This window comes from Homo sapiens, chromosome X (genome assembly GCF_000001405.40).
Source record: "Homo sapiens chromosome X, GRCh38.p14 Primary Assembly".
Lineage (NCBI taxonomy): Eukaryota > Metazoa > Chordata > Mammalia > Primates > Hominidae > Homo > Homo sapiens.
This window is the reverse complement of record NC_000023.11, coordinates 75,207,580-75,231,948: the sequence shown is the minus strand read 5'-3', so window position 1 is coordinate 75,231,948 and position 24,369 is coordinate 75,207,580. Positions and strand designations below refer to the sequence as shown.

At 40.3% G+C, this 24,369-nt stretch overlaps 1 protein-coding gene and 1 long non-coding RNA gene across 3 annotated transcripts in view; one reads left to right on the top strand and one right to left on the bottom strand.

Annotated features, from left to right (window-relative positions):
• The window catches only part of LOC124905200 (uncharacterized), a 58,324-nt gene extending 42,088 nt beyond the window's left edge, over positions 1-16,236 (top strand). The window contains exons 2-4 of one of the 2 annotated variants that reach the window (XR_007068269.1): positions 6,384-6,528; positions 15,450-15,539; positions 16,134-16,236. This is a non-coding gene — a long non-coding RNA (uncharacterized LOC124905200). Of the gene's footprint in view, positions 1-6,383; positions 6,546-15,449; positions 15,540-16,133 lie in introns of both variants that reach the window. The other variant, XR_007068268.1, reaches the window with a different exon arrangement.
• Positions 1-24,369, bottom strand: part of UPRT (uracil phosphoribosyltransferase homolog) — a 148,529-nt gene that overhangs the window by 72,949 nt on the left and 51,211 nt on the right. Inside the window, exon 4 of the mRNA NM_001363821.1 lies at positions 8,324-8,483. The gene's annotated coding sequence lies outside the window, so the exon portion shown is untranslated. The remainder of the gene's footprint in view (positions 1-8,323; positions 8,484-24,369) is intronic.

Here is a 24,369-nt window from a genome sequence, read left to right as displayed (position 1 = left end):
TCAGCCATCTTTCTAGCATTTCTTTTAGTGCTGGCTTGGTTGTGGCAAATTCTCTTAGCATTTGTGTGTCTGAGAAAGACTTTATCTCTCCTTCATTTATGAAACTTAATTTCACTGGATACAAAATTACTGATAATTTGTTTAAGGAGTTTATCAATAAGACCTGGATCCCTTCTGGCTTGCAGGTTTTCTGCTGAGAAATCTGCAGTTAATCTTACAGGTTTTTCTTCATATGTTACCTGATCCTTTTGCTTCATAGCTCTTAAGATTCTTTTCTTTGTCTTGACTTTAGATAACCTGATGACTGTGTTCCTAGGTGATGATCTTTTTGCAATGAATTTCCTGGGTGCTCTTTGAGTTTCTTATATTTGGATGCCTATATCTCTAGCAAGACCAGGGAAGATTTTTCTTGATTATTCTCTCAAATAAGTTTTCCAAACTTTTAGATTTCTCTTTTCCTCAGGAACAACAATTATTCTTATGTTTGGTCATCTAACATAATCCCAAATTTCTTGGAAGCTTTGTTCATTTTTTAATTCTTTTTCCTTTGCTTTTGTTGGATTGGGTTAATTCAAAAGCCTTTTCTTTGAGTGTGGAAGTTTTTTCTTCTAATTGTTTTATTTTATTGTTGAAAGTTTCCAATGTATTTTGCATTTCTCTATGTGTGCTTTCACTTCCAGAAGCTGTGATTGTCTTTTCTTTATGATATCTATTACTCTGGAGACTTTTTCATCCATATTTTGTTATTTTCTAAAAATTTCTTTAAGTTGTTTTTCACCTTTGTCTGGTGCCCCTTGAGTAGCTTAATAATCAACCTTCTGAATTCTGTATCTGCAATTCAGAGAGTTCTTCTTGGTTTGGATCCACTGCTGGAGAGCTAGTGTGATCTTTTGGGGTTTTATAGATCCTTGTTTTGTCATATTACCAGAATTACTTGTCTGGTTTCTTCTTATTTGGGTAGACTGTTTCAGTGGAATGTTCTGGAACTCAAGGGCTGCCGTTCAGATTATTTTGTCCCATAGGGTGATTCATTGATGTGGTTCTCTCCCTCTTCCTCTAAGGATAGGGCTTCCTAAGAGTCAGACTGCACTGATTGTTATTGCCTTCTTTGGTCTAGCCACCCAGTGTGGCTACTGGGATTTAGGCTGGTGATGGGGTATGTCTGCAAAGAGTCCTGGGATGTGATTCATCTTCAGGTCTCCCAGCCACAGATACTAGGACCTGCTCCAGTGGAAGTGGCAGGGGGTGAAGTGAGCTCTGTGGGAGTCCCTGGTTGTAGTTTTGTTTAGTGCACTGGTTTCCACAAATGCTAGTTATGCTAGCAGTCAAGTTGTCATGTGGACAGACTCAGGATCTCTGACTAGCCAGGGTGTTGCAAGTGGTAAAAAGAGCTGTTGTTTTCTCCTTCTTTGGAGCAGGATTTTTCTGTTATTAGTTGATGTAATGGCTTGGTTGGCATCCAGCCAGCAGGTGATGCTTTCAAGAGGGCACCAGCTGCAGTAGTAGAAGGGGGATATAATCTTGCCCTATGTTGGCCAGGATGAGTACTAGGGTTTTTTGTTGATGGGTGGGGCCATACAGCTCCCAATAGCTTATGTCTTTTGTCTTAGGCTACCAGGGCAGGTAGAGAAAAATCATCAGGTGGCTGTAGGGTAGGCAGGTCTGAGATCAGACTCTCCCTGAGTGGAGCTTGCTCTGGCCACTTTGAGTGTTGGGGGTGAGAGGGTTCTCAGGCCAATGGAGTTATGTTCCCAGGGGCACTATGGTTGCCTCTGCTGTGTCATACAGGTCACCAGGAAAGTGGAGGAAAGCCGGCAGTGACAGACCTCACCTAGCTCTCATGCAGCCTGCAAGGCCAGTCTCACTCCCACTGTGCCCCACCAATAGCAGAGTTTATATCCAGGCAGCTGGAGAGGAGGGCTGTGATCTTGCCCCAGGCCACAAGCCTCCTTGCTGAGAAAGCAAGCAGGGCTTTCAGGCTTCACCTCACCACCTGCCTGCAACTTCTGCTGTGGCTTCTGCACTCATATCTGCACTTCCTGTTCACCTCTCCCTAACCCTGGATTCTTCTCAGGAAAGTTTGTGCTCAGTCAAAATTATTACAGAAGTTCAGCTAGGACCTTCTTTCACCCTGTGGCCCCTCCCCAATTCTGCTGGCTGCCATCCCTTCCCCCAGGACTTCTGTGAGATAAGACCAGGAATGGCTTCCCTGGGGCTCAAGCTGAGGACTGGGAGTGCCTACAAGGCTCTTCAAACTGCTTCTTCTACTTTTATATTTCACTCAGCTCCCTAAATCTGTTTCAGCTCTAGGTAAGGTTAAATCCTTCTCCCATGATCTGGATTTTCAGGTTCCCCAGTAGGGATGGATGTTCAGAGGCTGACTTTTTCCCCTCTCACACTTTGGGAACTCAGTTTTTCAGCTGTCTCACCAGCGTTTGCAATGGCAAGCTGCTTCTTTGAAAGGGTCTGCGAATTCTCTCAGTTTTCCTGGTATGTTCCTGTGGTAGTTCTTGGAGCAAGAATTGGGTATTTTTTAAATGTATATCTCATCTTCTTTACTATTTACTTTCCTGGCTTTCAAAATTTTTTCTTTAATGCCTGATCCTGTTACTGTTTGTTTATTTGCTTTTTTCCAGGTTTCCTGAGGCATAATGACAAATAAAGTTATATATATTCAAGGTATACACGATGATTTGACATACATATCCAATATGATATGATTACCACAATAAAGCTAATTAATACATCCATCACTGCATATAGTTACCATTTTGTTTGGGTGTGGTGATAACACTTAAGGTCTACTCAATTCACAAATTTCAAGTCTACAGCGCAGTATTATTAACTATAGTCAACCATATGGTACATTAGACCCTCAGAACGTATTCATTTCAGAACTGAAAGTTTGCACGCTTTTACCAACATATCTCCAATCCACCTTCCTATGCAGCCTCTGGCAACCAACATTCTACTCTCAGCTTCTATGAGTTTGACTTTTTTGGATTCCACAAATAAGTGATATGACACAGTATCTTTTTTCTGTGTCTGGCTTATTTCATTTAGCATAATGTTCTCCAGATTCATCTATTTTTCACAAATGGCAGGATTTCAAAATTTTAAAATCATTTTCAAATACATATTGCCAACTTTTTGAAGTTAGTTTACTTGAAAGTACAATGTCTAAAAGGTATATAAAAAAGAGAACCTGTTAAATTAATATATTAAAAACTAAGCTGTTATGGTTCCCAGGTTATGGCTACTTCTTCTTGCCTATAGAACTCAATTATCAACAAAAGCTATATTTCACCCTCCAAGCAAGTCTTCTGGAGGATATATAAAAAAAGAAGAAAAAGCAATATTTCAAAACCAAAGAGAAAGAGAATGCAATTCTGCTGAACACTGCTATAGGCATAATAATGCAAAGAGTAAGGCAAGGAAGGAGTGAAATAAACCATTTGATGATGCTGGTGTGGGGAAGTCAAGGAAGGCCAAATCTAAATGAAGGGAAATGTGATGGATACTGTACAACCCTCATCCTCCATGAAGAACTCAGGCAGTCATGTCTAGCTTGACTAGACATGAGTTACAAGGTGTAACTAATTCCTTTCCTAGGAATTGTCCTAGGCTGAGGGATCTGCCCTATTCAACATTATGCATCCTTTTCTTCAGGTGCAGACTGCATCCATTGACAGATCCATGTGAAAATACAAAGACCTAGAGCCCTTGCCTCAATTTGAAACATCTTTGAAGGGCTGTCTCAATCTCAGAACTCCTCATGAAGTTGGATGAGTCCTTTGTTGCAATTTCTCTCTCTTCTTAGTCCTGCTTCTTTTAGTCCCTCTCAGATATTGTTCTCAAGAGCACTCCCCAATAAACTTCCTGCACAAACATCTTTATCACAGAGTCTGTTTCCAGAGGTACCCAGCTTATAACAGATAAAAAGCTTAATTCCAAATAACCTTACTATCAATGTGCCTGTGTGAATTTGATGCTTTAAACTATTTAAAAAAATAAAAAGAAAAGAGGCAATGCTGAAGTTGACTAAACTACTTTGCAAATTGCAGTATCAGACCTACTTATCAGGGAGTCTGACTGACAAGATTAATTGACTGAGTTCTGGCTTTGATTTGTTAAAATGAAGTTAGAAGCCTGAACTAACATGTACCTGCTTGCAAAAGTCTCAACATATGTCCCTTAATTATTGCTGAGATGAAATTCTCTTTGTAAGTATATGCACTATGTATTATATTGCATTTGGCTTCTTTTACAGTATTTCTGCTGATTTTAGGGGTTCTCTTCAGTTGGGGTACCCCATGAAAAAGAATTCAATGTCTCCTATTTGAAACAGCATCAGACTACGAGGCAAGAAGCAAGGATTTTGATTCCTTCCATTAGCTATATTCAGGAACTTCGGCAAGTTTTTCCCCTCTCTGGGCCTCAGGTTCTTCATTCATCGAATGTGGAAATAGGGCTCCAGGGTTCCATGTAGATCTCTTTATTATCTTATTATGATATTTGTTCAATGGCACGTCTGTGGAAGATTCCTGAGTGGAATACTGAAGTTCTGACCAAAGTAATAACTGGGGCTGAACTTTGACTTTGACTCCAGGCCCACAACACATATATTCCAAACACTACCCCTGCCACCCTCATCCGCTTCCCTTTAATCTCATGTATATTGTCATACAAAGTCATGTAACTAAATAGTTGATAAAATGTGGAGGAGATTAGAAAACCACCAGTTTGTTTATATCTGTTTAGTGGGAGCCTATGCCCATGGCCATTGGGAAGCATTGCCATGGCCCAAGTCAAGTGATTTACATATCAAATACCTAAAGACTTGACTGGACGATGGAGTGGAAAAGGCAGTACTGGGCACTGAGGTACACCTAAGCTCACATACATGCCCAAAGCTTGTTTGTGCCCAATTTGCAATGAGAATAAAGAGGTCTTAAGCCTTCTGTTTCTATTCCCTATTCTCCCATACCAGAAGTGCCTTTATGCTCCTTCCCTCCATTGAAATCAGTTCATTCATTCATTCAACAAGTATTTATTGAGAACCAACTTTGTGCCAGACAGTGTTCTCAGATGTTGAGTGGTGAACAAAAGAGAAAATTATCCCAGCCCTCATGGACGTTACAGTCAATTGGCAGGGAAACAGACAATATACAAAATAAATAAGTGAAACATGCATTACATTAAATGATGGCAAGCAGGGAAAGGGAATCGAGAGTGATGGCAGAGAGAGTACATTAATTTTAAATGTGGAGGTCAGAATAGGCCCCACTGAAAAGATGCCATAAGAACAAAGACCTGAAGTAGATAAGAATGCAATCTCGGGAAAGTATTTCTGGCAGAGGGAATAACACGTGCAAAGGTTCTGAGATAAATGTGAGGTTAGTGTGTTAATTAGCAGAGTGACTAGGATGGAGCTGAGTGGTTGAGGGAAAACAGTAATAGCAGATAAGATCATAGAGTAAACTGGGTATGGAGTGGAAAGATTGTGGAGTCTTTTAGGACATTGTGAGAACATAACTTTCCGTGTGATTAGAAGACAGCAAATGGTTTTAATCGGAGGAGTAACATGATATGGTTTAGGTTTTAACAGAATCACTCTGGCATGTTAGGAGATAGAAGGGTAGACACATCTTAAGGGTAGGCACAAGTTTACAATAGTTAAGAAGCTACTGCAATAATCCACAGGAGAGATAATAGTGGCTTGAGCTGGCTGCAGGGGGTGAGAAGTGGTCAAATCTTGATATATTTTAAAGATAGATCTTTTAAATTTTGCTGGTAGATTGCATGTGGGATAAGGAGGGGAAAAGAGTCAAGAATAATACCAAGGTTTCTGTCCAAAGCAACAGGAAGATAAAAATTTGTATACACTATAAAAAAGAAGAACATTCTATTTACTGAGATAGAGAACACTATGGATAAAGCAGGTTTTAGGGTGAGGTATAGATCAAGAGTTCAATTTTAGACATGTTAAGTTTGAGATGCCTATTAGATATCTGAGTGGAGATGTTAACTAGGAAGCCGCATACAGTATTTAACTCAAGTTTAGGGGGATAGGTCCTTGGAGATGTACATTTGAGAGAAATCAGCGTATAGTTTATATTTAAAGCCATGAGACTGGATGGAATAAAAAGAGTGGATATACAGAAAAATAGAAGAGGTTCAAAGACCTCTGAGGGATTGACTTCTGGAATGATACCATGAGTAGCTCTGCTAACCCATTTTCCAGAATAACTGGTGACAATTGTTTAAAAAACAAAACACTTAAAGCCTCTGGAAATGGTCCTAAGGTCAAACAGCAAGTGAAGAAATATCTGCTCAAGTCTGTGGCATATGAATCAAGCCTGCTCTCTCTTCCCTCCTCCCAGATCAGCAAGGTAGAAACTTCACTCCAGGCTACAGCAGCCAAGAATATAGGACTGCCTCTCCCCCAACTGGAAGCATTATTCTCAGGAGGAGTAAAACTGCATTTCTCATTCTGCCCCCAGCTACTGGTTGCTGAGGCTGTTCCAGGTAACTGTGGTCAAGAGGTAGGAGCTCCCTTCTTATGCCCATTCCCCACCTAGGGTGTGTGTGTGTGTGTGTGTGTGTGTGTGTGTGTGTGTGTGTGGTTTTTGGTTTTGGTTTTGTTTTTGTAGAGATGGACTCTATGTTGACCAAGCTGGTCTCAAACTCCTGGCCTCGAGCAATCCTTCTACATCAGCCTTCCAAATTGCCGGGATTATAGGCATGAGTCTCTACCAACCCCCACTTGTGAAATGAAGGCTCTAACTTGAGCATGACATGCTGAGAATACTGGGGACCCAATAGCCCTTTCCTTGATTTTTGAGGCAGTGGTTCCACATCAGAAGAGGTAAGCTGAGATCTCAAACTACTGCGACCGCTCCACTGAGTGTTCTGCTCCTAGAGTGAAAGTGTTACTCAGAAGCTTGCCATTGTTCTCACCTCCAGCTACAGAACCTTGCTTAGAGATTTTGCCTGAGTGTGGGGAGAGTGAGAGAAAGAAGCAGGCTATCAAACAGGTAGTTCAAGGAGCTTGATTTATTTGCAACAGAGTGTAGAGGCATTTAAACCTAAGAGCCCTCTCAAAAACAGTGAAAGTTGTGGTGAAAGGGAATCAAGAGGATATTCATTCCTCTAATGAAAATATAGCCTAGAATATAGGCCAGTAAGTATGCAGGAGAGAACCAGGGAATAAAACATGTAGGAGGAGCCTGCCTGGGTTCAGAATAAGTACTACCTCAGGAACTATTCCTTAGAAGGAGATACAAGTTGATTAGATTAGTTAATAGTTGAATTTGTGCTCCAAGACATTGTAAAGATAGGAACTCAATGGCTGGGTGTGATCAGGAAAAAACGTGGAAGAGAACTATACCAATAACACCATGATTCCAAGGTAACTGTGGAATACTCAAAACTTTGCCCTCCTGAGGATTAACGTCAGAGACCTAACAATGTGAGTGGTAAGGAGGAGGGAAGGGAGATAGAGGTCACTGAAATAATTTATTCTAAAAAAAAAAAGAAGGAAATAATAATAAGCTGTGGGAGCAGTACCAATATTTGCTACAATATGTTCTCAAATGTCCAGTTTCCAATAAAAAATTTTGAGGCATGCAAAGAAACAGGAGAGTATGACACATATATTTGGGGAAAATAAACAGGCAACAGAAGTTGCCTGTGAGAGTGACTAGAAACTGGATTTAACAGGAAAAGTTTGCAAATTAGCCATTATAATATATTCACAGAACTAAAGTAAAGCGTGATTAGAGACATAAAGGAGATATAATGACAGTGTCACATCAAATAGAGAATATCAATAAAGAGAATTTTTTTTAAACAACCAAATGGGAATTCTGGAGTTGAAAGTACAATAACTGACATATAAAAAAAATCACTGTAGGACCTCAACAGTAAATTTGGATTTGCAGAAAAAAGAAATAATGAGCTTGGAGAACTATTGATAGAGATTATGCATGCAGAGAAAAAAAAGAATGAAGAAAAATAGGAGGTAAAGCAAGATGACTGAATAGAAGCCTCCACTGATCTTCCCCTCCACAGGAACACCAAATTTAACAATGATTCACACACAAACCTTCATGAGAACCAAAAATCAAATGACTGATCACAGTACCTGCTTTTAACTTCATATCACTGAAAGTGGTACTGAAGAGGGTAGGAAATACAGTCTTGAATTGCTGACACCACCCCGCCTCCATCCCCCAGCAGTGACCACGTGATACAGAGAGATAATCTGTGCATTTGGGAGAGGGAAACTGCAGTGATTGTGGGACTTTGCATTAAAACTTACTTCTGTCCTGTCAGTGGAAAGCAACATGATGCAGAACTCAGCTGATGCCCACAGAGAGAGCATTTACAGACGTTCCAGCCAGAATGGAATCACCAATCTCTGCAGTAAGAACTTGATATTCAGCAAGCTTCACCACTGTGGGCTAAAGTGCTCTGGGGTCCTAAATAAACATAAAAAGTAGTCAAGGCCACAAGCAACGCAAGTCTAGGAAAGTTCTAGTGCGATGCTGAGCTTGAAGCCAGTAAACTCGGGGGGCACATGGCCTAGTGTGACACCAACCAGGGAAGCTTAAAGAGTGCCTTTGCCACCCCTCCCCCAACACCAGACAGCCAGCCTAATGTGAAGCTCCAAAAAGACTACTTCCTTCTGCTTGAGGAAAGGAGAGGGAAGAGTCAAGTGGATTTTGCCTTGCAACTTGGTCACTAGCTTAGCCACAGCAGGATAGGGCAGCTGACAGAGTCATGAGGACCCCATTCCATGCCCTAGCTCCTGCATAACATTTTGAGACACACCTTTGGCCAAAAGGAAACCCAATGCCTTGAAGGGAAGGACCCAGTCCACAAAAGATTCATCAACTGTTGACTAAGGACCCCTTGAACCCTAAATAATCACCAGCAATAGCCAGGTACTACTTGCCGTGGGCCTTTGGCAAGACTCCAAAAATGTGCTGGTTTCAGATGTGACCCAGAACATTCCTACATGTGGTGGCTATGGGAGAGACTTCTGCTTGAGAATAGCAGAGGAAAGAGTAAAGGGGATTTTGTCTTGTAGGTTAGGTACCAGCTCAGCCACAGTGGGAAAGAACACCAAGTGGGCTCTTGCAGTCACTGATTCCAGGCCTTGGCTCTTAGATGGCATTTCTGGACCTGCATTGGGCCAGAGGTAAGCCCACTGCCCCAAAGGGTGAATCCTAGACCAGGCAGAATTTACCACAGGCTGACTAAAGAGCCCTTGGGCCTTAAGTGAATGCCAGTGGTAGCCTGGCAGTGTTCCCCATGGGCCTGTGGGGTGGTGGCCATGGGAAGAGAATCTTCTGCCTGTGAAAATGGGAGGAAAAAGAAGGAAGGACTTTGTCTTGTGGTTAGGTGCCAGCTCAGGTGCAGTAGAGTAGAGCACATGGCAGATTTCTAAGGCTTCTGACTCCAGGTCCTAGCTCCTGGATGGCATCTCTGAACATACCCAGGGCCCAGGGGAACTTGCCACCAGAAGGGAAGAACAGAAGCCTGGCTGGCTTTGTCACCTGCTGATTGGAGAGCCCTAGAGCCTTGAGCATACATAGGCAGTGGCCAGGTAGTGGTTACAGTGGGTCTTGAATGAGACTCAATGCTGTGCTGGCTTCAGTTCTCATCCAGTACAGTCCTAGTGTGATGGCCACAGCAGTACTTGTGTCACTCCTCCTCCTCCCCTAGCTCTAGGCAGCTTAGCACAGGGGGAGAGACTCCATTTGTTTGGGAGAATGTAAAGGAAAGAATAAGAGTCTCTGCCTGGTAAACCAGAAAATTCTTGCCAATTTTATCCAAGACAACAAAGGCAGTACTTCTATGAGTCTGCAAGAACCACAGCACTGCTGGACTGGAGGGCCCTCTAATGCAGATATAGAAGCAGTGACCAAAAACTTTGGTCACAACAACTAAGTACTTACAAATACCTGAAAAGCCTTCTCAAGAAGGACAGGTACAAACAAGCCCAGACTGCAAAACTACAATAAATACCTAACCACTCAGTGTCCAGAAACTGTTCATCAAACATCCACAAGCATCAAGACTATCCAGAAAACATGACCTCACCAAATGAATTAAATTAGGTAACAGGCATCAATCCCAGAGAGAGAAATAAATGTGACCTTTCAGAAAGAGAGTTCAAAATGGCTGTTTTGAGGAAGCTCAAATAAATTCAAGATAACACAGAGAAGGGAATCAGAATCCTATCTGATAAATTTAACAAAGATATTGAAATAATTTAAAAGAATCAAGCAGAAATTGTGGTGTTGCAAAAAGCAATTGATGTATACTGAAGAATGCATCAGGATTGATCAACCAGAAGGAAGAATTAGTGAGCTTGAAGACAGGCTATAGGAAAACACACAGTCAGAGGAGACAAAAGAAAAAAGAATATAAAACAATGAAGCATCCCTATGAGATCTAGAAAATAGCCTCAAAGGGGGAAATATAATAGCTATCAGCCTTAAACAAGAGGTAGAGAAACAGATATGGGTAGAAAGTTTATTCAAAGGGATGATAACAGAGAATTTCCCAAACCTACAGAAAGATATCAATATTTATGTACAAGAAGGTTATAGAACACCAAGCAGATTTAACCCAAAGAATACTACCTTGAGACATTTAATAGTCAAATTCCCAAAATGTCAACAATAAAGAAAGAATGCTAAAAGCTGCAAGAGAAAAGAAAAAAAAAACAAACAAAAAACAGACAACACAGCATCTGGCAGCAGGTTTTCCAGTGGAAATCTTACAGGCGAGGAGAGAGTGGCATAACATATTTAAAGTGCTAAAAGAAGAAACATGTTTACACTAGAATAGTATATCCCATAAAAATGTCTTTTAAATGTAAAAGAAAAATACTTTCCTAGACAAATGAAAACTGAGGCATTTCATCAACACCAGACCTGTCCTATAGGAAATGTTAAAGGAGTTATTTAATCATAAACAAAATGATGTTAATAAGCAACAAGAAATCATCTGAAAGTACAAAACTCACTGATAATAGTGAGTATGGAGAAAAACACATAATATAACATTGTATTTGTGTTGTGCAAACTATTTATATCTTAAGTAGAAGGACTAAAAGATGAACAGATCAAAAACAACTACAAAAACTTTTTAAGACGTAGACAGTACAATAAGACATAAATAGAAAAAACAAAAAGTTAAAAAGCAGGGGTTGAAGTTAACATGTAGAGTTTATATTAGTTTTTTCATTGCTTCTCATTTAATTTTTTATGCAATCAGTATTAAGTTGTAATCAGTTTAAAATAATGGGTTATACAATAGTATTTGCAAGCATCAAAGCACCCTCATATCAAAAAATGTACAATGGATCGAAAAACATAAAAAGCAAGAAATTAAAACATACCATCAAAGAAAATCACCCCCACTAAAAGGATTACAGGAAGGAAGGAAAGAAGGAAGGGAAGATCACAAAACAACCAGAAAACAATAAATAAATGGCAAGAGTAAGTCCTTATTTATCGATAATAACATTGAATGTAGATGGACTAAATTCTGTAATCAAATGAGAAAGAGTGGCTGAATGGATTAAAAATCAAGATGCATTGATCTGTTGCCTACAAGAGACACATTTCACCTATAAAGACACATATAGACTGAAAATAAAAGGATGAAAAATGATATTTTATACTAATAGAAACCAAAAAAGAACAAGTGTAGTTATATCAGAAAAAAAATAGATTTCAAACAAAAGATATAAGAAGAGACAAAGAAGGTCACTGTATAATGATAAAGAGATCATTTCAGCAAGAATATATAACATGGTAAATATATATGCACTCAATACTGGAGCACCCACATATATAAAGCACATATTGTTAGAGCTAAAGAGAGAGACCCCAAAAACAATGATCGTTAGAGTCTTCAACACTCCACTTTCAGCATTAGACAGATCATCCAGGCTGAAAATCAACAAAGAAATATCAGACTTGATATTCACTATAGAACAAATGGATCTAATCAATATTTACAGAACACTTCATCCAATGACTGCAGAATACACATTATTTATGTTATATTATAGTGCAGATTAAGTCTGGTGTTTTTTGTTGACTTTTTTATCTGGAAGATCTGTCCAATGCTGAAAGTGGGATGTTGAATTCTCCAGCTATTATTGTATTGGGGTCTGCATTTCTCTTTAACTCTAATAATAATGGCTTTATATATCTGGGTGCTCCAGTGTTGGGTGCCATATATTTACAATTCTTAGATCCTCTCACTGAATTGGCCCCTATCTGTTTTTTGCTTTCCTGTTCATTAAAATGTTGTGTCATTGGAAAGAGGAAGAATGTATTGAATTCCAGTGGTATCATTGTTTAGTCTTATATTTATTTATTATATTTATTATAGTTTGGAGTAAAGCATTCCATAGTTTAGAATTACAACAAAAACTCTTGATGAAGCCCACTTATTATCTCTCTGTTACTGAAACCACACAAAAGAGTTTTGTTGTCTACATCTAAGAATGATAGCATCAAGATCCTTGCAGAAAAAACCTTCTGTTTTTGCATTTAGCCTAATACAGTATGGAATTCACACCTCTTTACCTTCTTATATTTCATACTGGGGAAATTTAAATCCAGCTGTGTCCATGGCATGAAGCCTTGCCTTTCAATTACTTTGTCTTTCCGAGATCCTTATGGACTACTTACTACTTATTGATCATGAATTAAATTGAACTCCATTCAGAGGCAAATGAAATGAGCTGTTAGGCAGAGAATTCAATTAGAAGGCAGAAGACCTGTCAATACTTGAAGGCCTGTGCCACAATATCCAAGTGTTTTATCATAAACTCCCTCCATTTTAGTAACAACACTCTTTTTTTTTAAATTTTATTATTATTATACTTTAAGTTTTAGGGTACATGTGCACAATGTGCAGGTTAGTTACATATGTATACATGTGTCATGCCGGTGTGCTGCACCCATTAACTCATTATTTAGCATTAGGTATATCTCCTAAAGCTATCCCTCCCCCGTTCCCCCACCCCACAACAGTCCCCAGAGTGTGACGTTCCCCTTCCTGTGTCCATGTGTTCTCATTGTTCAATTCCCACCTATCAGTGAGAATATGCGGTGTTTGGTTTTTTGTTCTTGCAATAGTTTACTGAGAATGATGATTTCCAATTTCATCCATGTCCCTACAAAGGACATGAACTCATCATTTTTTATGGCTGCATAGTATTCCATGGTGTATATGTGCCACATTTTCTTAATCCAGTCTATCATTGTTGGACATTTGGGTTGGTTCCAAGTCTTTGCTATTGTGAATAGTGCCGCAATAAACATACGTGTGCATGTGTCTTTATAGCAGCATGATTTATAGTCCTTTGGGTATATACCCAGTAATGGGATGGCTGGGTCAAATGGTATTTCCAGTTCTAGATCCCTGAGGAATCGCCACACTGACTTCCACAATGGTTGAACTAGTTTACAGTCCCACCAACAGTGTAAAAGTGTTCCTGTTTCTCCACATCCTCTCCAGCACCTGTTGTTTCCTGACTTTTTAATGATTGCCACTCTAACTGGTGTGAGATGGTATCTCATTGTGGTTTTGATTTGCATTTCTCTGATGGCCAGTGATGGTGACCATTTTTTCATGTGTTTTTTGGCTGCATAAATGTCTTCTTTTGAGAAGTGTCTGTTCATGTCCTTCACCCACTTTTTGATGGGGTTGTTTGTTTTTTTCTTGTAAATTTGTTTGAGTTCATTGTAGATTCTGGATATTAGTCCTTTGTCAGATGAGTAGGTTGTGAAAATTTTCTCCCATTTTGTAGGCTGCCTGTTCACTCTGATGGTAGTTTCTTTTGCTGTGCAGAAGCTCTTTAGTTTAATTAGATCCCACTTGTCAATTTTGGCTTTTGTTGCCATTGCTTTTGGTGTTTTAGACATGAAGTCCTTGCCCATGCCTATGTCCTGAATGGTAATGCCTAGGTTTTCTTCTAGGGTTTTTATGGTTTTAGATCTAACGTTTAAGTCTTTAATCCATCTTGAATTAATTTTTGTATAAGGTGTAAGGAAGGGATCCAGTTTCAGCTTTCTACATCTGGCTAGCCAGTTTTCCCAGCACCATTTATTAAATAGGGAATCCTTTCCCCATTGCTTGTTTTTGTCAGGTTTGTCAAAGATCAGATAGTTGCAGATATGCGGCGTTATTTCTGAGGGCTCTGTTCTGTTCCATTGATCTATATCTCTGTTTTGGTACCAGTACCATGCTGTTTTGGAAAATCAATGTACAAAAATCACAAGCATTCTTATACACCAACAACAGACAAACAGAGAGCCAAATCAGGAGTGAACTCCCATTCACAATTGCTTCAAAGAGAATAAAATAACTAGGAATCTAACTTACAAGGGACGTGAAGGACCTCTTCAAGGAGAACTACAAACCACTGCTCAAGGAAATAAAAGAGGATACAAACAAATGGAAGAACATTCCATGCTCATGGGTACGAAGAATCAATATCATGAAAATGGCCATACTGCCCAAGGTAATTTGTAGATTCAATGCCATCCCCATCAAGCTACCAATGACTTTCTTCACAGAATTGGAAAAAACTACTTTAAAGTTCATATGGAACCAAAAAAGAGCCCGCATCGCCAAGTCAATCCTAAACCAAAAGAACAAAACTGGAGGCATCACGCTACGTAACAACACTCTTTTTATGCTGCTCAATACCTTAACCAAAATTAACTTTTCCTGCCCATCAAGACTCCACTCATGACTACAACAATGTCCCTAAAATGCTCCACTGACTCATACACCAGGTCTTCTCAGACCAAGGCCACCATGTCCTAATTCTTTTTTTTGAAAATACTTATTTCTCGGCCAGGCGCAGTGGCTCACGCCTGTAACCCAGCACTTTGGGAGGCCGAGGCAGGCGGATCATGAGGTCAGGAGATCGAGACCATCCTGGCTAACACGGTGAAACCCCGTCTCTACTAAAAACACAAAAAATTAGCCGGGCATGGTGGCGGGCGCCTGTAGTCCCAGCTACTCAAGAGGCTGAGGCAGGAGAATGGCGTGAACCCAGGAGGCGGAGCTTGCAGTGAGCCGAGATTGCGCCGCTGCACTCCAGCCTGGGAGACAGAGCGAGACTCCGTCTCAAAAAAAGAAAAAAATTACTTATTTCTTCTCCTCTAGGGTAAAGTTTGCTTAAGCTTAGTATATTATTCTCCAGCTGGATGGTCAAACAGAATGTGCCAAAATGTATATCCAAACTAGTCATCCAGTGTTTCTCAAAACCTTAAAAAATGAATGCTATCCTTTCCAGGGCACAGCTTTCATTCAAAACCAAAAATACTCCTGTGCAATACAGAATATACTATTTCATGTAATTAATGCTTTTATCTTCTATATTTTCTGGCTGCTACCACCAGCACCACAACCCACGAGTAGACTTCAGAGAATTATCCAGCCATTCTTGCTTTGTTCCTGATCTTACAGGGAAAAGTTCTTGTTTCTCACTGGTAAGTATGATGTTAACTGTGCATTTGGTGTACATATTCTTATGAAGTTGAAGAAGTTCCCTTCTATTCTGAATTTGCTGAGACTGGTTATCATGGGAGTTGAATTTTGTCAAATATTTTTTTCTGTGCTTATTGAATATGATTATGTGATTTTTCTTCTTTAGCTTACTGATTTATTACATTAATTGATTTTCAAATGTTGAACTAACTTTGCATGCCTGGGAAAATTACCACTTGATTGTGGCATATAATTATTTTTCTGTATTGTTAGATTTGATGTGTTAATGTTTTATTGAGAATTTTTGCATTTATGTTCATCAAAAATATTGGTCTATAGTTTTCTTTTCTTGTAATGTCTTTGATTTTGGTATTAGGGTAATGCTGGCTTTATAATAAGAATTAGAAATTATCTCTGCTTTTATCTTCTGAAAAATATTACAAATAATTGGTATTATTTCTTCCTTAAATGTTTATAGAATTCCCCAGTGAATGTAACTGGACCTGGTACTTTTGGTTTGGGGAGGTTATTGATATTTATTTAATATATTTTAAAATTATTTTTAGTATTTCTTTAAATTTCAACTTTTATTTCAGATACAGGAAGTACGTGTGCAGATTTGTCACATGGTTATATTGCATGAAGCTGAGGTTTGTGGTATGGATCCTGTCACCAGGGAGTGAGCATAGTAGCCAATAGGTAATTTTAATATCTGTAATGGATATAGGGCTAGTCAAATTATATATTTATTTTGGATGAGTTTTGTTAGATTGTGCCTTTTAAGAAATTGGGTCACCCAGGTTATCAAATAATGAATATAGAGTTGTTCATAATATTTCTTTATTACCCTTTTAATGTCCATAGGATCTTTAGTGATGTCCCCTCTTTCATTTCTGATATTATTAATTTGTGTCTTCTCACTTTCTTTCTTAGCCTGGCTACAGGCTTATCAATTTTATTGATCTTTTCAAAGAACCAGCTTTTCGTTTTGCTGATTCTCTTTATTAATATCCTGTTGTCAATTTCATTGATTTCTGATGTGATCTGTATTATTTCTTTTCTTCTGCTAACTTTGGATTTAATTTGCTTCCTTTTTTCTAGTTTCTTAAGGTGTAAGCTTAAGATTATTGATTTTGTGTCTTTTTTCTTTTCTCATATGTGCATGCAGTACTATAAATTTCCCTCTCAGCACTGCTTTCACTGCATGCCACAAATTTGGATCAGCTGTCATTTCATTTTCAATTAGCTCATAATATTTTTAAATTTCTATTAAGATTTCTTCTTCTAAAAAAAAGATATCTTCTTTAAACAAAACCATGTTATTTGGAGATAAGTATACATTCATGAAACTATCAGCACAATCTATGCCATAAAACTACCTGTCACTTTCAAAAGTTTTCTCCTGCCTTATTTGTGTGTGTGTGTGTGTGTGTGTGTGTGTGTGTGTGTGTGTGTTGAGAATACTTAATATAAGATCTACCTTCTTGGCAAATTTTTTTGAGACAAAGCCTTACTCTTTCACCCAGGCTTGAGGGCAGTGGCACAATCATGGCTCACTGCAGCCTTGAACTCCTGGGTTCAACCAATCCTCCCATCTCAGTCTCCTGAGGAGCTGGAACTGCAAGTGCACACTGCCACACTGAGCTAATTTATTTTTTATTTTTTGTAGAACCAAGGTCTTGCTATGTTTCCCAGGCTGGTCTCAAACTGCTGGACTCAAGTGATCCTCCTGCCTCAGCCTCTCAAAGTGTTGAAATTACAGGCATGAGCCACCACACCTAGCTAAAATTTTAAGTACACAATACAGTATTATTAACCATAGGCTCTATGCTGTACAATATATCCCTAGGACTTATTCAACTTATGTAACTGAAAATTGTATTCTTTGTCTAATAACTTTGATTCCACCTCATCATGTTCCCTTCAACAACTATTCCACTCTCTGCTGCTATGAGTTTGACTATTTTAGATTCATCACATAGGTGGTATTATGTAGTATTTGTCCTTGTGTGTTTGGCTAATTTCACTTAGCCTATTATCCTCCACACTCATCCATATTTCACAAATGGCAGGATTTCCTTCTTTCATAAGTCTGAATAATATTTCATTGTATGTGTATACTACATTTTCTTTATCCATTCATCTATCAATAAACATTTACATTGAGTCTCTTTGGCTCGTGTGTTATTTAGAAGTCTGTTGTTTGATTTTCAAGTATTTTGGGATTTTCCAGCTATCTTTCTGTTATTAACTTCTCATTTAATTCCATTGTGGTTTGAGAGCAGACATTGTATGATTCATATCCATACAAATTTGTTAAGGTGTTTTGTGGCCCAGAATGTCATCAGTCTTGGCGAATGTTTTGTGTGAGCTTGAGAACAATGTATAATCTACTGTTGTTTGATGAAGTGCCCTTTAATTGGTGTTAATTAAATCTATTTGATTAATGGTGATATTGATTTCCTCTAGGTCCTTATTAATTTTCTGCCTGTCAAATCTGTCCATTACTGAAAAAGACATGTTAAAGTCTCCAACTATAATAGTGAATGTATCTATTCCCTTTTACAGTTTTATCATTTTTTGCCTCATGTATTTTGATGCTATCGTTAGGTGCATACACATTAAGGATTGTTAGCCCTGTTGTATAATTGGCCCTCATCATTATGTAGTAAACCTCTTTATCCTGATACTTTTTTTTTGCTCTGAAGTCTGCTTTGTCTTAAATTAATACAGCTACTACCACTTTCTTTTTATTAGTATCAACATGGTATGTCATTCTCCATCCATTTATCTTTTTATCTATATGTGTGTTTATATTTAACGTGGATTCCTTGTAGAAAACATATGTTTGGGCATTGCGTCTTGACTCCCTCTGACAATTTCTGTCTTTTAATTGGTGTATTTAGACCATTAACATTTAAAGTGATTATTTGTAAAGGTCTAAACTTTTACTTTGTTTAATAAAACTCATAGATTCTGTTGCCAAAAATAGGATTTTTAAAGCCTGAGAAAAAGTAATCATTTTTTTAAATCTGTTATAGACCAGTCTCAAGAGACACATTTATATCAATGTTTAACAGAAGTTCAAGATTCAGACCAAAATGCACGCATATATAACCCCTTACTTGACTCTCGCAATAAATTCAGATGCTAAAAGACCATTTAATGTTTATAAAATCCATTATTTAACTACAGTACTTTGGCTCTATCATGTATGTTACTGGCATGTGTGAGTTATTAAGTCAGACTGCATTCCAAATAGCACACAGCTGCAATTCAGTGTGAGGAGACTGCCTATAAAACACCTGCTTAATCCCATTCACTCTTTATAACCAGAGACTTTCTGATTTCACTTTACAAAGAATGTGCCCAGTATCTTGATTTCCTATATGTCTAAATTCCGCAATGTCTATATTGCAAAATGTAAACCTAGCCAACTACTTTATTTTTTATTTTATATTGTTTTATTTTAAGGTCAGATGATACATGTGCAGGATATGCATGTTTGTTACATAGGTAAATGTGTGCCATGCTGGTTTGCTGCACCTAACAACCCATCACCTAAGTATTAAGCCCTGCATACATTAGCTATTTACCCTGATGTTCTCCCTCCCCCACACCCCTGACAGGCCCCAGTGTGTGTTGTTCCCCTCCCTGTGTCCATGTGTTCTTATTGTTCAGCTCCCACATATGAGTGAGAATATGCAGTGTTTGGTTTTCTGTTCCTGTGTTAGTTTGCTGAGGATAATGGCTTCCAGCTTCATCCATGTCCCTGCAAAGGACATGATCTCATTCTTTTTTAAGGCTACATAGTATTCCGTGGTGTGTATGTACCACATTTTCTTTATCCAGTCTATCATTGATGGGCCTTTGGGTTGATTCCATGTCTTCCCTATTGTGAATAGTGCTGGTATGTTGTCTCTTTGTTCTCATTTGTTTCAAAGAACTTCTTGATTTCTGCCTTTATTTCATTATTTACCCAGTTCAGGAGCAGGCTGTTCAATTTTCATGTAGTTGTGTGGTTTTGAGTGAGTTTCTTAATCTTGAGTTATAATTTGATTGCCCTGTGGTCTGAGAGACTGTTTATTATTATTTCAGTTCCTTTGCATTAGCTGAGGAGTGTTTTACTTCCAATTATGTGATCGATTTTAGAGTAAGTGCCATGCGGCACTGATAAGAATGTATATTCTGTGGTTTTTGGATAAAGAGTTCTGTAGATATCTAGCAGGTTTGTTAGTCCAAATTGCATCATTTTGTAAGCCGCCTGCCATTTTGCAGATCTTGATCAAAGTGAAACATTCCATGGTAGTTTGGGCTATGAGAAACAGCCTGCTTCTTATCATATTCTGCTGAGAGAAAGTGCAAGGAACACCACATTCTGCCAGAACAAGGGCCAGAACCACCTCATCCTATGAACAGGTTATCAACATTTTTCCAGGCAGCAAGCCATGCCCCCACAGTCCCCTCCCACTCAGACCTATGAATTGCCCAAGCCTATAAGCCACGGTGGGCTCTGGCATTAAGCTGGTCCCCCACCTTAACAGGTTTTTGCGATATACTGGTATTGCAGTTAAGCTGCCCTCTCTCTGTGTGTGTGTCTTTCTTTAACTCTCAACTTCCCTTCAAAACCTAACATTTTGGTGCCAAAACCTGGGATGGGGATTGGGTTCTAAACAGGTAAGTCTTCTCTTGCAACCTGGAAAGCAGCAAGCAGCAAAAACTAGACCCAGGACTGCTTCCAGATCCTGAGTGGACTCCTTGTTCCTAGCCCTGCTTCCCTCATTTTCTCATCTTCTCCAGCCCTGGGCTGACCTCCAGATCCTGATCAAACTCTCCATCCTCTTTTTCTTTCTTTCCCTTTTCTGGGTGGCTCTGACAAGGATCACCCCCATTGCTGGACATCACATCCAACACCAATCTCCAATTAGTGGGTGAGTCTCCCTTTTCCTCCTTTCCGAATTCCTCTCTATTTCTGATGGTTCACCAGAAAATCCCAACTCTGGGTGAGAGGTCTCCTCTGTCACCAGGTGACCACGGCCTGCCTTCTCAGGGGTGCCCTTGAATGCTCACCACTCCAGCCACTCCGGCCTCTGGGGGACTGCAAAGAGCTGTGGGGATGCTCCAGCTCAGCTATCCTATGTTCCTTCTCCCGGAGGAATTCGGGTACTCACTCCTCTCCAGGGTACTCACTTTCCTTTGGAGTATTCACTCCCCTCTGGGGTACTCACTCCCCTCTTCTAAATTTCTCACCCTTCCAGCCACCAGTATGGGGCAAGTCTCCTCAAACCTCCTCAAGACACCACTCTCGGGTGTCTCATCTGGAACCTCCCAGCCCAGGGCTTAGTGGACTCCATTAAAACTGAATACCTTATTCACTCCTCCCAAATGTCTCATCTGGATCCTCCAAGCCCAGGGCTTGGTGGACTCCATTAAAACAGAACGCCTTACTTTCCTCTCTTATATTGCCTAGCCCTAGTGTAACCTGGACAACAATAGTCAATGGCCAAAAAACAAAACATTCAATTTCCAAATTCAACATAATCTAAAAAACTTCCTCCAACGCAATGGTAAATGACGTGAGATGCTTTGCTTATCTCTGTTTGCAGCTCTCTCTCTCTACCAATCATGTTCACCTTTTCAAATCCTCCTCCTCAACAAAAAACCCGCAAAAATGCCTCCTCCTTTGGACAATCCCTCCTCTAATTTCAACCTGGCAAACAATCCCCCTCCCTCGGTCCCCCTCCCACCACCATCCCCTCCTTATTCTCCTTTGGCTGCGGCTCCTCCACCCCCTTACTTTTGCCCTCCGTCCCCCTTTCCTTCTCCACTGCAAATCAGCTCTCACACCCAACCCCCTTTTCCTGAAAACCAGGCACACATCCAAAGGCCTTCCAAAGTCCTTTCCTTGCAGGAGGTGGCAAGGGTCAAAGGCATAATCTGAGCTCATGTTCCCTTCTCCCTAGCCATCCTCTCCCATCTTAAAAAGATAATTGGCTCCTTTTCCAAGGATCTCACATCTTTCCACAAGGAATTTCTGTATGTCACTCAATCTTATAACCTTACCTGGCATGACATATATGTAATCCTCTCCTCCACCCTCACCCTGGAGGACAGGGGACACATCTGGATGAATGCCCAGGCCCATGCAAACAACCTCTACCAACAAGATGTTGCTCATAACCCAATAGGGATCCTGGCTGTCCCCAAAACTAACCCCAATTGGGATTATCAGGCAACTTCTGCAGAGACAGCAACAAGGCCATATAATATCAAGCCTCCTAGCTGTCATAAATAAAGCTGCCCCTGCTCTTTTCCTCTCCTCCCTTTCAAAGGCCATGACTAAATATACCACCTTAAGCCCTAATACCAATAAGGGCAGAATCTACCTTCATTTATACTTCATCTCCCAGTCAGCCCCACACATCCGAAAGAAATTTTTAAAATTGGAGAATAGCCCTCAAACCTCCCAAAGAGACTTAATCAAAGTGGCCTTTAAGGTCTTTAACAATAGAGAGGAAGAACTAAAAACCCAAAAACTAAAAAGAGACCAGGCTAAATACCAGATGCTGGCAGCTGTCATTCAACAGGGTTCCCAATGCATACAGAAGTCCTCAACTTTGCAACAGTCACTGCCAGAAGCCTGTTTTTAGTGTGGCCAACAGGATCACTGGGCAAAAGCCTGCCCTAATCCCAGGCCACCCTCAAAACCTTACCCTATCTGTGGTATCAAGAAACACTGGGCCAGGAACAGTAGCTCATGCCTGTAATTCCAGCACTTTGGGAGGCCAAGGCAGGTGGATCACCTGAGGTCAGGAATTTGAGACCAGTCTGGCCAACATGGTGAAACCCCGTCTCTAATAAAAATACAAAAATTAGCTGGGCATGGTGGCGGATGCCTGTATCCCAGCTACTTGGGAGGCTGAGGCAGGAGAATCACTTGAACCCAGGAGGCAGAAGTTGCAGTGAGCTGAGATCATGCCATTGCACACCAGCCTGGGCGACAAGAGCGAAACTCTGTCTCAAAAAAAAAGAAAAAAAGAAACAACACCGGAAGTCGGACTGTGCTCAGCCAAACTCTTCCTCCCGCTTCATCACCTCTAACTGAAGACTGACAGGGCCTGGAATCCATTGGCCCATCACCACTACCACCTCGGAACCCAGGGTAATGCTGTCGGTCTCTGGTAAGCCCATATCTTTCCTATTAGATATGGGGGCTAGTTACTCGGTTTTACCAGAATATTCTGGAACCCCTCTTAGTTCTTCTATCTCTATTATGGGAATTGATAAACTCCCCTCTAGGCACAAATAGACTGGTCCTCTATTATGCAACCTATTTAACACTCCCTTTACCTACTCCTTCCTGGTTAATCCTCAGTGCCCTACTCCTATCTTGAGGCAGGACAGATTAAGTAAATTCCACGCCTCCATACAATTTGCCTCCGGCAATTCTACCCATTTTATTTTACTCTGCAGCCCAGATGCTTCCCTCTCCTCCCCCTCATCCTCATTATCCACTCTGTTACTTTCTGTTAATCCTGAAGTTTGGAATGTTTCTAAACCCACAATAGCCACACATCACATCCCAGTTAAAATAACCCTCCAAAACCCCTCCATTTTTCTTCATCAGTCTCAATATCCCCTTAACCCAGCCAGCCTCAGGGGCCTCAAACCTATTACCTGTAAACTTTTACAAGCTCAAATTCTCAAGCCTGTAAACTCTTCCCACAACACCCCTATCGTGGCTGTCAAAAAGACAGATGGGTCTTACCACTTTATCCAGGATCTCTGAGTTGTAAACCAGGTGGTGGTGCCAATCCATCTGGTGGTCCCCAAGCCATATGCTCTACTCTCCCATATTCCCCCATCTACCACACACTTCTCTATATTGGATTTAAATGATGCCTTTTTCACTATTCCCTTAAATCTAGCTTCCCAAAGTCTTTTTGGTTTCACTTAGTCAGATCCTGATACTCAAACATCCATCCAACTAATATGGACTGTACTTCCACAGGGGTTCTGAGATAGCACCCACCTATTTGGACAGGCCCTCACCAAGGACTAGGCTGAACTTCCCCTTGCTCCTAGCACCCTCCTCCAATAATCAATAACCTCCTTCTCTGTAGCCCCTCCATCTGTCCATGCAACACACCACTTAGCTTTTAAACTTCCTCCATAGCTGAGGATATTTGGTCTCACCCACAAAGACTCAAGGTAGCCCAAACCCAGATTACTTACCTTGGGCTTGTCCTAACCCCTAACTCTCCAGCCATCCCAACCCAATGCAAGGAGCTAATTTGGGACATGCCCCTTCAAAGGACCTCCTCTCCTTCTTGGGCCTTGTGGGATACTTCTGACTGTGGATTTCCAACTTCAACTTGCTGACCAAGCTGCTCTACATGGCCTCACATGGGCCCATCCTAGAACCCCTGAACCTAGCTTGCCCCATCAACTCTCACTTTAAAAAATGAAAAAGTGCCTAAAATGGTCCCAGTACTGAGACTGCCCAACCACACCAAGCTCTTTCCTCTGTATATACATTGTGACAGAGGCCTTGCTCTTGGACTACTCTGCCAAACATATGGCAATGCCCCACAAGCCACTGCATACCTCTCAAAACAACTGGACTTTGTCATCCAAGGCTGGCCACCCTGCCTAAAAATATTGGGTGCGGTCACATTGCTGGCCTCAGAGGCACAGAAACTCACTCTCTACCAACACATTACTATGGCATCTTCCCATAACTTGCAGAACTTCATAAGCTACCAATCTCTTCTATACCTCCCATCATCCCGTTTACAGCAGGTGCATGCCTTATTCATAGGAAACCCTCTA